The sequence below is a fragment of the Homo sapiens genome, chromosome 22, assembly GCF_000001405.40.
Source record: "Homo sapiens chromosome 22, GRCh38.p14 Primary Assembly".
NCBI classification, from domain to species: Eukaryota; Metazoa; Chordata; class Mammalia; order Primates; family Hominidae; genus Homo; species Homo sapiens.
In genome coordinates this window covers 24047871-24064023 of record NC_000022.11, presented here as the reverse complement: position 1 = coordinate 24064023, position 16153 = coordinate 24047871, and the positions used below count along the sequence as shown (strand labels likewise).

The 16153-nt window shown below is 49.6% G+C and overlaps 1 protein-coding gene across 50 annotated transcripts in view; it reads right to left on the bottom strand.

The window, feature by feature from the left end:
* The window catches only part of CABIN1 (calcineurin binding protein 1), a 167325-nt gene that overhangs the window by 114605 nt on the left and 36567 nt on the right, over nt 1–16153 (bottom strand). For 40 of the 50 annotated variants that reach the window (XM_047441218.1, XM_047441219.1, XM_047441226.1 and 37 more), the window contains 8 exons: nt 14804–14933; nt 13050–13199; nt 8865–9151; nt 7664–7832; nt 4661–4797; nt 3883–4100; nt 1999–2077; nt 878–1065 (listed from right to left, as the gene is read on the bottom strand). In XM_047441218.1, coding sequence (XP_047297174.1) covers nt 878–1065; nt 1999–2077; nt 3883–4100; nt 4661–4797; nt 7664–7832; nt 8865–9151; nt 13050–13199; nt 14804–14933 — 1358 coding nt within the window. The remainder of the gene's footprint in view (nt 1–877; nt 1066–1998; nt 2078–3882; nt 4101–4660; nt 4798–7663; nt 7833–8864; nt 9152–13049; nt 13200–14803; nt 14934–16153) is intronic. The other 10 variants (XM_047441220.1, XM_047441234.1, NM_001201429.2 and 7 more) reach the window with 1 other exon arrangement.

Genomic DNA, 16153 nt, shown 5'->3' with positions numbered 1-16153 from the left:
GAAAACAGGTCAGGGAACCAAAGCAGAAGACTGACTATGATGTGCCAGATGCTTTACACCACTTATCTCACTAGACTGTGGAGGCCATGAGGGTGGGTTTTTTACCAATTACACTGTACCCCCCTAAGAAAGGCCTGGCATGTAGCTTGGGCTCAATAAATACTTGTTGACTAAATGAACAGTCCATGTCAACTCTGCGAGGGGAGATATCATAAACCCCATGTTGCAGATGAAAACACTGAGGACACTTGAGCAAAGCCAGAATTAGAAGCCAGGCCTGTCCTAATTCCAGAACTAATGTTCTTCACATCAAACAGTGTTGCTTTCTTTAGACTAAATGGTTGCTGACAGGGCCCTAGCAATCTCTTGACTCATTCTACCACAGTGTACCAGTACCACCATGTGCAAGGTGCTAGGTAACAGCCAATCCATCCTGGCCTTCCAGACCAGGCTCTGAAGGGAAGCTTTCCCAGAACTCTCATAAAACAGGTGAATAATTCCCTCCTAGAAAGCTCTGTATCTGTTTATTCACTTGCTCGGGCTCTCTCAGGAAAACATAAGCAAAGAGTCAAGATGCCAAGGCAATCTTGAGTGGGGGAGGTAGAGGCAGAGCAAATGCCTTCCAGAGCTCTGTGGTTATGCTAAAGAGCTTTACAGATTGGTATCATGCTTGGAAGTCTGAGATGCTGAGAATTCCCCACTGTGTCACACTTTCTCATGCCAAGCCCAGTGCCCGGGCAGGTGCTATGCATGTACACATGCATGCACACACACACACACACACACATACACACACACACCCTCAACATGGTCAATTTTCTGCCCACCCTGCTGGGTGTCAGGGCATGCTCCCCAAGCAGCTGACCATGGAACTAACCTGCAGCGCCAGGAAGCGAGCCTTCAGCCAGTAAACACGGACCACAAACTCCAGCCAACCATCCTCGAACAGGTCGCGCTGGGACGAGGCAAATGACAGCTGTAGGAGGTCACCCAGGCAGTGGGTCCCTGGGAAGTCAGGTCCAAATCTGCCATTCACCATACCAGCAGGGCAGTTCCGAGGAGACACTAAAAACCATCAGGCCAACGAGTCAACTTCATGTGTAGCATTCTAATGCCCTTCTGCTTCTCAGAAGTTGCACTTGGCCCTAACCACACCCACCCTATCTCCAGGGGCACCCTAAGCCCCTCAGAGCCCTACAGCTCCCTGAGTGGCAGGCATCAGAGAGGTTGGACCAGTTAAGACAAAGATATGCAGAGACCCTGCCCCCTGCCGAGAGTCAGGGGCAAGGGCAAGGGGAAGCAATTTTACAGACAGCATTGAGTATATCTACATTCCACCAGGTGGTAGTTTAAAAGTCAGAATGAAGCTGGGCCCAGTGGCTCATGCCTGTAATCCCAGCACTTTGGGAGGCTGAGGTGGGCGGATTACTAGAGGTCAGGAATTCAAGACCAGCCTGGCTAACATGGTGAAACCCCATCTCTGCCAAAAAATACAAAAATTAGCCAGGCATGGTGGCACACGCCTGTAGTCCCAGCTCCTCGGGAGGCTGATATGGGAGAATCACTTGAGCCTGGGAGGCAGAGGTTGCAGTGAGCCAAGATCATGCCACTGCACTCCAGCCTGGGTGACAGAGCAAGACGCTGTCTTACCAAAAAAAAAAAAAAAAAAAAAAAAAATCCGTATCACCAGAAAAATTACTGAAGCTACATAATACATAAAGCACTGCATTGAACAGTCACACCAAAACTGAGATCCCACTTCCTTCAATCTTGTGTAACAGCAAAGCAGGGAGGTGGCTCCCTCTGGGGGCTCAGCTACTGCTAACCACTTCTTGAGTATCCAGGAGATTTCCCTGGGACCCTGACAAGCCAACCCAAAAAATGTGCCTACTGTAGATATAAGGCTAAATTCCATGACTCAGTCTCCCGCCTCAGCTTTCTCCCAGCTGCTGGGGGTTCAGATATTAGCCTGGCCACAGAACACATAATGCCTCCTACCTGCAGAGCTTCTGCCTTTGGTCAGCAGCCACTGGTCCAGCTGGAGTTCCATGCAGGAGAGAGACATCAGCATCATGTCCTGCAGGACAGACACAGGAAGGTCAAGAACAGTATCACAAAGCCTCTTCACAGTGTGGGGGGTAGGGGGCTGTGGAAGGAAACAAAACTATACTTTTTGATAAAAATATAATTCTTTCTATCCACTTGCCATTTCATAAGTGATAATCAGTGGCTACTCGCCAGAACATAAAAAGAGCCACATGGATGTATGTTGGGACAAGACTTGGGAGAGGCCAGGAGACCGGTCTTCAGAGTTCTTGTCCTGTTGAAGAGGCAGCCCTGTCACCTGCCAAGTGCTGGGACGGACACTGCATCCAAATTATAGAACTCAACCCTTAAAAGTTCTGGGCAGCTGGTATACCATTCCCAGGGCACTTGAGGAAGCTGAGGCTCAGTGATGAGAAGGCACTTGCCCATTGGGCACAGCTGGAAGGTGATCATCAGCCTGCTTTGCCTGGGGATCAAAGCCCTGGTTCCTCCTGCTGTTTCACAACTGCCCCAGGGGAGCATGGCCTGGTGGGCAGAAGCTGCCAGGAGGTTGCCCTGAGGTAACTCAGTGGAGGGTGCCCACCAAGGGATGACTGACCTACAAGCTCTTCTACCTCCTGTGCTCTCAAGTCAGAAAGACCACCAGGCATCCCTGAATGTTCCTGGTGCTCCTGCTTCAGCATTCAGTGTCCCACCTCCAACAGGAGTAAGGGGCCAGAGCACCTTGTGTTCCCTTGAGCTCCAGGAGGCACCAAGTGGAGGAGGCTGGGGTGTGGAATGCAGCAGGAAGACAAGGCTCAGTGAGGCTCAGCCCCCTACTGCTGGTGGCCCCCAAAGCTTCTCTAAGCACGCTATTTAGCTTCTGCTGTTTTATCATCTGTTAAAAATAGTCATAGGCCAGGCATGGTGGCTCCCGCCTGTCATCCCAGTGCTTTGGGATGCCAAGGCATCAGGATCACTTGAGCCCAGGAGTTCCAGACCAGTCTGGGCAACATGGCAACATGGCAAGACCACATCCTAACATCGTAACAAAAGGAGACCCCCATCTCTACAAAACAAAACAAATTTTTTTTTTTTGAGACAAGAGTCTCGCCTTGTCGCCTAGGCTGGAGTGCGGTGGCGCCATCTCGGCTCACTGCAAGCTCCGCCTCCCGGGTTCACACCATTCTCCTGCCTCAGCCTCCTGAGTAGCTGGGACTATAACCGGGTGTGGTGGTGTACGGCTGTGGTTCCAGCTACTTTGAAGGCTGAGGTGGGAGGACTACCCGAGCCCAGGAGGTTGAAGCTGCAGTGAGCCGTGACTGCACCACTGCACTCCAGCCTAGGCAACAGAGCAAGACCCTGTCTCAAACAACAACAACAAAAGCCTCAGTCACAGTCCTTGCCAACTCAAACAAACCAAATGTTTCCCTTTCCTCCAGCTTCTCCTGGCAAGGCTTCCTGTGACTCAGTAAACAACCCGAGAAGCCCTCCCCATGACTCTCATTCCCTCACACATCCCATGTCTAGTTCAACCTATCAGCTCTGCAACCACAAACCAGCACCCCACTATTACCACTGGATCTCAGCCACTGCTCCCCTGGCATGGCAGCAGCCTCCTGATAGCCCCGTGAGCCCACTCTCACCCCTAAGTGTATCCTCCACTCAGCCATCAGGGAGCTTTCTAGGCACAAACTAGGTTCAGTGACTTCCTGCTTCGACACCCACAAAAAAACCAGGTTCCAGGCCCACAAGTAGATGCAGCCAAACACAACAGCAGCCCCACACCCATGCAAGATCCCTGTCCCCATGCCCTGGTCCCAGTTCAATACCAGCCCTTGAGAGGCTCCCCCTAACCTTGATGTGCTTGTTGCTGCAGTCCCTCAGCAGCGGGTTGGGCAGGCTGGTGCTGTGCCTCCTCCAGCTGTGGTAGACGCTGAGCACGACCTCCGCCAAGCCTGGAGGCCACCTTACCAAGAACTTGTGGCCCATGGCTTTCAGGTAGCGCATCATCAGCTCCAGGATGCCCCCGTTGGTTAGGTTCTCCAGCAGGAACTCATGCACGTCCTGCTTTTCTGCCCGGGGAGCAAGAACAACCTGACTTGAATAAAGAGTACCTTCCATGCCAGGGTCTCCTATTTACTTTGGGACAGTAAAGACTGTTCCCTCCCTCTACCATCTGATCCAGGTGGACATGATACCACGTTGTGGTGCTGAGATCAGGCTACTGGGTTCAATGCCTGGCTCCAACCCTCAGCAGCTATGATTGAGCCTCTCTGAATCTCCGTATCTAAGGTGGACATCAAAAGGGCAGACCTCCAAGTGCTGCCATGTGCACTAATCTCACTCAACAGTTATACACTGATACACACTCAACAGGTGTGCTTATATAGATTCAATTTGCAAAGCGAAGTCTCTGAATTTGGCCATAAGAAAGCATAGCAAGTATGAGCCTGGACATTTCAGAAGACCTCCAAGCTGACCACAGGGCTTAGGTCCAAGACTAATCCAGGCAGACTCTTGGCCACACTAAAAAACACCCCAGAACCATTCTCCCAGAACAAAACATAAGCAGGTTATAGGATAGTGGGAAGAAGAATTCCCAAAGTGAATGGTCACACTGCTCGATTCCTACCAGATTCCATGAATGTGGCTGAGTCAAATGACAGCCTTTGAGGCCCAATGCTTGGGAAGCTTTCCAGTTTGGCTTCTGACTGGACTTCATAGTTATTAAAGGAATCATCTTCCTCCTCAGGGTCCAGCTTTCTTAACCTGCATGTAACATGCCAAAATCACAAAGTCACAACACACGTTCTGACACAAGCATCTGAACTCTTCCTGTTAGAGAAACTAAATCTGAGTCAGGAAGAAGGCAGCTAAAATAAGTGGGTGGTGGGGTCCAGAACCCAGGCCTCCAGGAGGCTCTGCCTCTCTCCAGGGCCTCATGAGCCAGCATTTGGTCTGTATCCTGTCTCGGTCATTCATCTCATCAACAGATGATTACCGAGCACCAGCTATGTGCCAGGCACTGTGCTAGGCACCAAATACAGCAGCCCTAAATGTGGCAGATCCTGCCTGCAGTAAGCTTACCCTCTAGAGAGACACAGCCAATAAGCAGGTACACAAACTAACCCAAATAAGGACCACCTCACAACAGAGTGCTTGAGACTATGGGTCAAAAGGGCCCTGCTTTAGAGAGCAGGGTCAGAGAAAGCCTTTGAGAGGGGATAATGTTCATGCTGACACACTGGAGGAGGAGAAGGGCTTGCAATACAAAGATGCAGGACAAGAACAGGTACAAAGGCACAGGCCAGAAGAGCACCTGGTGTGTTCTAGGACCTCATGGGAGCCCAACAACTAAGGTGGAAAGCGGATAGATAGGTGGGAGTTTGGGGGATACATCAAGCTCATCTGAACTTGGTCCTTCCGTGGCTCCTCACAAAGCTGTGGGTGGGCCCAGTCTCGGGACTGGGGATGCCTCTCCTGGCAGGCACTCCTCCCAAGGACCCATTTCAGCCAACCTTGTGGTGTTCCCTCAACCCAGAACCCCTGCAGCATAAACACTCAGGGCACTTGTGAATGTCTTCATTCACGTATTGCACACACTCCCAGGGTGACTCCATCAGGCGAGCTACCATGTTGCTCTTGCCTTGACCATTCAAAGAAGCAGAAACTAAGTTAAGTGTGGTTGCTCAAGATTGTAATCTCAACATTTTGGGAGGTGGAGGCAGAAGGACGGCTTGAGGCCAGGAGTTCAAGATCAGCCTGGGCAATATAGCAAGACCTCATCTCTACAAAAAACAAGAAATAAAATTAGCTGGGCATAGTGGTGTGCACCTGTGGTCCTGGGTATTCAGGAGGATCCCTTGAGTCCAGGAGTTCAAGGCCACAGTGAGCTATGATTGTGCCACTGTACTCCAGCCTAGGCAACAGGGCAAGACCCCATCTCTAACAAAAATAAACAACAAAGGAGCAGACACTAAACCACAAACGAAACCAACAACTAAAATGAAGATTAAAAAGAAAGTCGAAACCATCCAGGTAAATGGGACTAGGGAACAAGACCTTGGAGTAAAAAGCAGGGCTAAGGGGAATATAGGGTCACTCAAATCTCTTGGCACCATCAACCAAAGAACAATCCTGCAGTTCTTCCAAAGAGAAACTTTCTTCTGGTATTACCCCTTAAGAAAAATTCATCAGAAGGCACTGCAGCCCCACTTTGGTTCTGCGTCAAGTACTGAGAACAATCATTATTTCTAAGCATTTCACCTTCACCTCAGAAAGACAACAAATTAAGAAAATTAGGAATCTTGCTGTAAAATAAATTTACAAACCACCTAAAGCTTCTGGCTTCTCCTTCACCACTTTGATGTTGTTACCACTGAAATAAACTGTCATGGGAAAGAACTAGATAGTTTAACTCCTGTTTAAAGATGGCATATCGAACACATATGGTTAGCTCCCAAACTCCATTCCAGTAACAACGAAGGAGTAAAAAAGGTATAAACTCACAAAGACAGAAGATAGGCGAGGATGCCCCAGCAGACAAAAAATGTACCAGCCAACTGTTAGAAGGCAGATGGCCCAGTGCAAATGAAGAATGGTGTCTGCCGAGAGAGGCCTCTCCACTCAGCTAAGGGAGGAGAAAGGGGAGTATTAAGAAACCAACCCACTGGCACCATAAACTCCAGGAAGGCTCAGAAATTGAGGATCCTAAAGCCTCTGAAGGAGGTGAGCAGGCAAGGACAAAAAGCAGAAGGACTGGCCGGGCGCCGTGGCTCATGCCTATAATCCCAGCACTTTGGGAGGTTGAGGCGGGCAGATTACGAGGTCAGGAGATCAAGACCATCCTGGCTAACACAGTGAAACCCCGTCTCTACCAAAAATACAAAAAATTAGCCAGGCGCGGTGGCAGGCACCTGTAGTCCCAGCTATGCGTGAGGCTGAGGCAGGAGAATGGCATGAACCCGGGAGGTGGAGCTTGCAGTAAGCCCAGATAGCACCACTGCACTCCGGCCTGGGCGAAAGATCAAGACTCCGTCTCAAAAAAAAAAAGGCAGAAGGACTGGTGAAAACCTAAGTAAGAAGCACTGGGGACCAAGTCCCTCCCAGCTCTGGGGAGCCTGGTTCCTGCTTGTCCCCTAGGCTCCTGAGAAGCACTAAGAATGAGTGAAACCCAGGAATACTTCACAAGCTCCTCCTCTACCTTCTCAGAATGCAAGGGAATCCTGCTGAGCCTGGAGCAAATCAAGTAGACACGGACTCCCTGAAAGCAGGAGGGAAGCTCCCTTCCATGGGGTTTTCAGGGCATCTGCACCCAAGGCACAGCACCCCTCTGCCTCCCAGCAACAAATAGATGTCTTGTAAATACACAGGGACATGAGTATGTTGCTTCTAGCTCTCAAAAGATGAACAAGTCACAGCTCCTGACTTCAGGAATTTCAGAGGTGGGAAGAGGCGAGAAAAATCCAAGATCCTACTCCAGTGAGATTTGTGCTTCAGACATCTGCACAGATGTTATGGGAACACAGAGGAGGAGACCAGAGAAGAGGGTGGCAATGGAATGAGAAATGTTACTGATGGTGTATGCTGGAGCTTTGTGGGTTTGTTTCTGACAATCAGAAAAAATACACAGTACCTGGACGGCAAGAACTTCATCAGAAGCTCCTGGAAGTCTACTTTCTCTTCTTTTTTGCACTTGGTGTTTCGGACACGGGCAGACCGCCGCTTTGCTGTTTCTCCACTCTCTTCTGAAATCTTCTTCCGTTTTACCCCTTTCTTGGATTTATCTCCCCCAGAAATATCACCTTCACAAAGAATGCAAATTAAAATCTTACACGGTGGCAGGGATGAAAAAAATGCACCACACAGACACATCAATCTCCCTCTTTTATAAATCTACTAGCATTAAACTCTTTGACATTCAAAAAATCTTCCATCTCTTCTTCAACAACAAAGAATCCTGAGTAAAATTAATTTGAAACCCCTTAACTCTCACACCTTTCTTGACTTCACAGGACCCACAAGCCAGATTTCAAGATTACTTTCCACAGCTACAAAGCAAGCAACACCCTTACCCTCCCATCCCCTCACTGGTCGGCTGAACTTCGGAGTCTCACTCTGTTACCCAGAACGGACAGAGTGAGTGGCTATGACCCTACCCAGTACCCTCTGAGCACTCAGCAATATGATAAGAGCAAAAGAACAGTGTGAACTATATGGACAATAGAAGAATGTCATGTATGATTAAGTAAAAAAGAGACAACCATGTACATGTTTATTCAGAAACTTCTATATCTGCCAGATATTCTTTTTTTCAGTGACACAGAAATCAAGAAAAGGCTCGGGAGCTTTTGTCAAAAATTTTTGACAACTCTAGCAATAATAAAAATCAATAAAACATATGGTGGTTGGTAACTTTGCTGACTGTTTTCTAAGATCAAAGAACTCAGGATGTACACAGTCAGCAAGAGAGCAGGACCAGAAGAGGGGACCTCTGCCAGCTTCCACATTACAAGTGGTTAAGAGCAACCTTCGTGCCAGAATGTGGCTGCCAGGCACTAAATGGTCCTGGGGGAACTGTCAAGGACCAGGAGCTGCATCCCTGATCCCCCGTCCTCCTAGCTGCAGGGCTTCAGAGCTGAAATGGCCCTGACGGGCAGTGGCACTGTGAGCAGGCTGAGAGGCTCCTCTAGGGCTGGGGGCTCCCACTTCCACTTGAGTCATGAGCATCAGCATGACCCTTCTGTCTAGGGAGGCAGGGCTCCCCAGCAGTCTCATTCCTGCTGGGCTCAGTGAACGGGGTCTCCCCGGAAGCCAAATTCAGGGGGCCTGCTTACCCACAGGAGCGCCTGTCTCCAACAGACCAGGACTGTGCAGTGGGAAGCTGGTTGTAGCCACAGAGGTGTAGGAGACCACAGGCTCGGCGACAGCCACAGCTGGGTTGGTGCTGACAGTGCTTGGCTGGATCACGTTAACTGGCGTCACCACCATGGAGGACTCAAGAGGCTGGCTGGGGTCCTGGTAGTCCGACAAATCAATCCTTTTGCCAAGGCTGGGACGTGGGGGCTCACAGGTGGTGAGATGATTGTACATGGCCAGCAAGCTCTCTCCGAGGCACTTCCAGCTAAAGGGAGAGGGCCACAACACCTGATCACCACCCTGTCAGAGGAATACTCCAAGCATAGTGGAAAATGGCCTGCCTGCACAGAGGCGGCAGAGCTGCTCCTGGAGCTGCCATGTCCATGGGGGTGGGGGAGGTGATCAAGGTTTCATCACTGGCACAACTGATGAAATCTTGTCTAACACAGCTGAACTGAAGATGCGGCAGCCAAAGCTGGACCAGGGACCTGGCATCCACCTGCCCCTCACTGCAGCAGAAGCCCCATAAGCATCTTGGCCTGAGGCACTTTCAGACTCAAGTAGGTATGTATGAAATCCATTGACTCACTTCAAAAACTCCTCCTCAGGAAGGTCAAGTCTTTAAAACACTTGTGGAACTCCCCTGCTGCCACGAATCTGTTTTATGCGGAGAGCCTGTGGGGGACTGCCAACAGGGACATGGTCTATAAGAACTTGGACCATGGGCAGGGCCTATGGGGAGCAGCACCTCAGTGGATTACCAAATGGGCTGGAGCCTGCTGGATGGCAACAGGAGACTGTTGTGTGTTTTGTTGTGGTATGGTGTGGTGTGTTATATTGTGTGCTGTCTATTGTTTTGTATTTCACATTCCGTGTTGTGTGTTGTGTTGGGTTCAAGGTTGTGTGTTGTCTACTATGCTGCGTGGTATGCTACAATGTATCCATTTATCCATCCCTTAATTGCTTCTAATGCCTCAGGCTAAAGACCAACTGCTCAGCCTGGCCTCATGGTGCTGCACAGCCTCCTCTCACACCACCCCCTGCAATCCTGCTACATTAGCTCTCTTTCAGTTCCTTAAACAAAATCACACTCTCACATGCCACTGGGCCTTTGGGCTGGCTTCCTTCTGCCCAGATGCAACGTCCCCTCCCACAGCATAGCCCTCTGCCTAGCCAATGCCTGTGCCTCAGTCAGACCCCAGCTCCACCACCCAGCCTTCCCCAACCCCTAGAGCAGCAGGAACCTTGTTCAGAGGCCTTCCAGCACTGCGCTTCTCTCCTCACAGCCCCCATCAGCTTGAGGCATGTGCTGCTTTCTCTGGGTGACTGATTACCCCTGGTATCACTTGTAGCAAGGGACCAGGCCCTGCCACACTGCGCCCCTAGCACAGAGCACAGTCCCCTGCACAGAGCCAGCATCCAGGAAGTGTTGAGAAAGGAATAAAAGAACAGTGCTTCAGGCTGGGCACGGTGACTCATGCTTGTACTCCCAACGCTTTGAGAGGCCGAGGCGGGTAGATCACCTAAGGTCAGGAGTTCGAGACCTGCCTGACCAACATGGTGAAACCCTGTTTCTACTAGAAATACCAAAAATTAGCCAGGGGTGGTGGCGCATGTCTGTAATTCTAATTACTTGGGAGGCTGAGGCAGGAGAATCGCTTGAACCTGGGAGGTGGAGGTTGCAGTGAGCCAAGATCGCACCACTGCACTCCAGCCTGGGCAACAGAGTGAGACCCTGTCTCAAGAAAAAAAGGACAGTGCTGGCTGGGTGCGGTGGCTCACGCCTGTAATCCCAGTACTTTGGGAGGCCGAGGCGGGCAGATCACAAGGTCAGGAGATCGAGACCATCCTGGCTAACACGGTGAAACCCCATCTCTACTAAAAATAAAAAAATTAGCCGGGCGTGGTGGTGGGCACCTGTAGTCTCAGCTACTTGGGAGTCTGAGGCAGAAGAATGGCGTGAACCCAGGAGGCAGAGCTTGCAGTGAGCCGAGATTGTGCCACTGCACTTCAGCCTGGGCGACAGAGTGAGACTCTGTCTCAAAAAAAAAAAAAAAAAGAAAAAAGAAAAAAGAAAAAAAAGGACAGTGCTTCAAATTCCAGAATCTAAATGATGGAGGCTCCCAGGGCTAGAAGGAATTTCTTCTATCTTTTTCCTGCCTTCAGTTAGTGTTACATTTAGACAGGAAGAATTTGCTTACTGGCTGGGTTGTGTCAAATGCCTTAAATACACCATTTCCCTTACTCGTGCCTTGCTCTTGCTCATGCCTACTAGGCACTGAGGAAACCAGGGGTGGTAAACTGTGCCCTGCAGCAAATTTTATTTTTTAATTTTTTTTTTTTTTTTGAGATGGGGGTCTTGCTCTGTCACCCAGGCTGGAATGCAGTGGTGCCATCACAGCTCACTGTAGCCTTGACTTCCCCGGCTCAAGCAATCCTCCCCCTCAGCCTCCCAAGTAGCTGGAACTACAGGTGTGTGCCACCATATCTGGCTAATTTTGTTTATTTTTTGTAGATATGAGGTCTCACTATGCTGCCCAGGCTGGTCTTGAACTCTTGACTCAAGTGATCCTCCTGCCTCAGCCTCCCAAAGTACTGGGATTATAGGCGTTAGCCACCATGCCCAGCTAGTTTACACATTTTTAAAGCATTGTTTAAAAAAAAAAAGAAAGAAAAAGAAGAAAATATACAACATAAATTGTACATGGCCCACAAAGGCTAGTATGTTTACTCTCTGGCTCTTTAAAGGAAAAGTTTTGCTGACCCCCGGAATAGATGGAGATTACTATAAAAGCATCATGTCCTCTGCTACCAGAGAGGGAATCTACACTCTTCCTTTAATGACCAAATCCCAAATTTAACTACTGAGCCTAACTCCCTCTTGCTTCTACTTCTCCCTCCTGCTTCTACTTAGCCCTCCCCCTACACCATGGAGGGTGGCCACGGCACCAGTTCCCAGCCCTCTGTTCTCCAGTCACATCACCACAATCCCTTCTAGTGTTCTCAGGCCTTTTCCTCCTTCACTGTAACAGGGAGGCACCCCAGGGCCCTTCCAAAACCCCAACCCTCTGTAGTTGGGGAGCACACACTCAGATGGGAGAAGGACTCTAATCCAGCTGACAAAATACAAGAAAGGGCACCAGACAGGAGTCCTAGAGCAGCCTGAAGAACAGCCCTTTCTTCCTGGCCATCTCGGTGCTCGGGTATGGAAATATTTCTGGGAAATTCTACATGCTGAAACTCACAGCCAGTCATAATAATACGGATCAGAGCCAGCCCTTCCTGAGTGGGTGCTATGTGCTGCCTCTGTGCTAGCCCTACATGTTTTGTCATTATCATGACAACCCTATGAGAGAGATGTTGCTCTCCCCGTTGCTAGGGAGTGGCTCCTAATGTCCCCAGAGTCATCCAATTCACAGCATTAGGAGTGCCAGGATTGGACCCAGGTCAGGTCAGTCTGATCCAGGCCAGAGCTCCCTCAGAGTAGGCAGACAGGGGTGGAGGTAGGGGGTGGGGAGTAGAAATGGAATGCTACTGCTAAGTCATGCTAAACTTAAAGATTCAATGTCAGAATTTTAAATACAGAAATTGAATTCCAGAGCTCGCTAAGGGACTAAACTATCCCAACTCCAGGGAACCGCCGATACCAATTTGCCCTTCCTGGAGAGAGAGAGACTCTCACATCATGGGGCTGGCAAGGACTATATTGAGGCCCATCTCGCAGGGCTCCCCACGTGGCCCTAGAGAGAAAACATGGACTTGAGAGCGGAGAAGCCCAGACCCGGGACTGTCTCTGGGCTCCCCATTTAAGTACTCTGAACATCAGTTTCCTCCTGGCAAGTGCTTGGCAAATGTTAGTTTCCATTCGCCCTCTAGATAGGGCAGGCTGAGAAGGGCCTTACAGGAATGTGGCAGGTGGCTGGGGTCAAGAACAGCAACAGCAAAAAGGGACTGAGACTGGAGGTACTTGAGAGAGAGCTGACCTGCTTCTTAGTAATCAAGTAAGCATGCACCTCCAACCATTTGGCCACTGTGCACCCAGCCCCCATTCATACCACCAACCCAGGATCAAGCCTCAAGGTCTCTCCCTCCTGTGCAGGGCAGCATCCCACAACAGGGCCTACTGGCCGACCCAGCACTCCCAGAGACGCTAGACAACCTACGTGAAGAAAGGAATGGGCTGCACAAGTTTCAGGTCCGGCTCCTTCTCCCGCACAATCAGCGCTTGCCTCTTTTTTCGCAGCCCCAAGGCCTCATCTACAATCGCCTGTGTCTCAGCTGCACTCACCGAAACATCGTGAATCGACATGTCACTAAAAGCATGTGAGACAGGGAGAAATTATCATGTTACAAACTAAAACTGAGGCTGAAATTTTACACACAAAAATGCATTTAGGTTAATACCTTTTAATGTGTATTTTTCTTCCTATAAATAAAATAACCACTTCAGTCTGGCCTGGGTAGGGCAGTAAATAGCCTTCTTAATACCCACATACACTAGAAATGACTAATATTCTTTGTTCCTTTGACAATTCAAAACTGGGCAGAGAAAGAGTTTTCATATGTATTAACACTATCACAATAATATCTGAAAAGCCACAGAAAAATAAAATCTTTCTCTCAATTATTATTAGAAAATCTTAAAAGAATGTAACTATCCTATACTGCCCATGCCAACAAAAAGTCATCGGAAAAGTGAAGCTCACCAAAGTGTATCACGACCCAAAAATACAGAAAGGGCAGGGGCTTGGAGGCCCTACGTGTCCTCTCACAGACACACTTCTGAGGCGACCTAACCTCACCTGCCCTCCTGCCCAGACTGTCCTGGTGCTTCCCAGCAGGGTTACACCTCAGAGCTACTCATGAATTTATCTGTTTCATGTGCTTCTTATCTGTCTCCCTCAAGGTTAGCTCCCTCATGACAGATGTTCCCTCAGTTCCTATCTCTGCCAACAGGTAGTTCCTTCAGGAGAGGGACAGGCTCACAGGGGATAGACGCCAAGATAAATCACTACTAATCAACCCCTACAGGTGTGTTCCAGGGCCAAGGAAGACCAGAGGGCAAAAGGAGTTGGCTGGGCTGGAGGGCTGTGGGGAAGGGCAGCTAGAGCTCAGAAAGCAACAGAGAGGTGACCTGAGAAACAGATAAGTTTGTAAGTGAGCAGCTCTGAGGTGTGGCCCTGCTGGCAGGCATCAGGACAGTCTGGGCAGGAGGGGCAGGTATTCTTGGGTCACCTCAGAAGTGTGTCTGTGGGAAGACACCTGGCAAAGGAGGGGCAATGGCGGGACAGGTGGAGAGGTGGGAAGATGGCATGAGAGTTTAGAGCATAGTGGGAGCCAGGTTGAGAAGACAGGATGCCACACAATGGTACCACGCCTGGAAACTGCAAGGGACTTGGGGCAGTCTTAACAAAAGGAGCCTGGGAGGGAAAAGCAGGAGGTGACGTGGGAGAACTATGGGGTCAGGCTGCAAAGAACCTCTTTGGTAATGCAACTGAGCATGGGCTATGTCCTGGAGGCAAGGCAGGGGTGGCACATGATCAGAGGCATGTTTGGGACACTGAACTCGGGCAGCACTGAGAACAAAACCCTGGGAAGGGGAAAGGCAGGAGGCAAGCTGGGCAGCAGGCTGCCCCAAGCATCCAGAGGACAGCTAGCGAACACTGAAAGCTGGCAGGACAGCAGGAGAGGCGGGCAGCAGGCAGCCTGAGGAGGCCTTGCCAAGATTAGGTAGAGGTGGGTGATCAACAAGGCAGTCCAAGGTCAGTTCACTAGATCAGGGGCTGCGGCAGGGCATGAAGCCCCAGAGCACAGGGGCTCCATCCATGGGACCTGAGGGGAGAATGTGGTGTGCTCCTGACCTTCACCAGCCACACAGTAAGCGTGCACACATGGCATGGGAAGAGGCAGGACTTACCATTTGAGGAACATTCTGAGAGAGTCCTTCCGGAGACAAGGCTGCTCCTCAAAAATCTTCTCCTTGAGGACCAGCCCTTTGCTGTACCGGCAATCCTTCTCCAAAGCTTTGCAGATGAAGTACAGACATGCTGGCGGGGAAAGAGACAGTTTATGACTTCTGAGACCGCACTCAGAAGCTCTGGCCTTGCCAGTTAACATCAGGAAAATCCTGCTCCTAGAATCAAAGAAATGCCTGGTAAAAAATAATGAGATACCACTTTAACTAATTCAGTCAGGTTAGTAATAAGACCCAGAGTAGACTGGGCACTGCAAGGTGAGCAGACCCAAAGATTCTGGCAGAGGACAGACCGTAGGATCTTTTTGGAGGACCATAGGCAATTACACACAGATCCTCGATGACCTGGGAATCCCACCTCTAGAAACTACTGCAAAAATCCAACAGGGCTCACAGTGATTATCTATTGGCTAATTGGAAAACAGCCTTCAAAAAATCTGGAAATAGCCAGGCACAGGGCTCACGCCTATAATCCCAACACTCTAGAGGCCGAGTTGGGCAGATTGCTTGAGCCCAGGAGTTGGAGACCAGCCTGGGCACCATGATGAAACCCCATCTCTACAAAAAATACAAAAATTAGTCAGGCATGTTGGTGTGCACCTGCAGTCTCAGCTACTCAGGAGGCTGATGTGGGAGAATCGTTTGAGCCCAGGAGGTAGAGGCTGCAGTGAGCTGTGATCATACCACCGTACTCTAGCCTGGGCAATAGAGTGAGACCCTGTTTCAAGGAAAAAAAAAAATCTCAAAACCACTCTGTCCCACCATGGCACCTGGTTAAATAAAGTATGTCCAATTCCACACAATAGGTTGCCAAGCAGCCACTACATAGATGGTCAAGGAGTGTGCTTACTGACCAGAAAGAAGGCCAAGATACAGTACTGGGAAGAAGCAGGAGACAAAAGAGGTCACATAGTGTGACTCCATTATACACATAAAACTTATTGAATTTTGTTTACCTGTATTTTCCAATTTTCCTCCTTTTTTTAAAAAAAAAACCTATTATTAAAGCTACTGCCTACAATTTAAGACATGTACATCACTCAAGTTAATGTCATAATGAGCATCCTCAAGTTATTGATCTGGAAAGCCTGTGCCAACTCCAGCTCCTCCAGGAATGGAGACAGTAACAGGTAAACACACAGAAAAAAATGGGATGGCATGGATTCACAAAGCAGAACTATGATATAAATTACAAAAGCTTTCAGCACTTGTAATTGGGAACAGTCCAGGTCTCACCAGTGAACACACAGAGAAACACAACACTGCAGCAGGGTGCCAGCTCTGCCTGGGCAC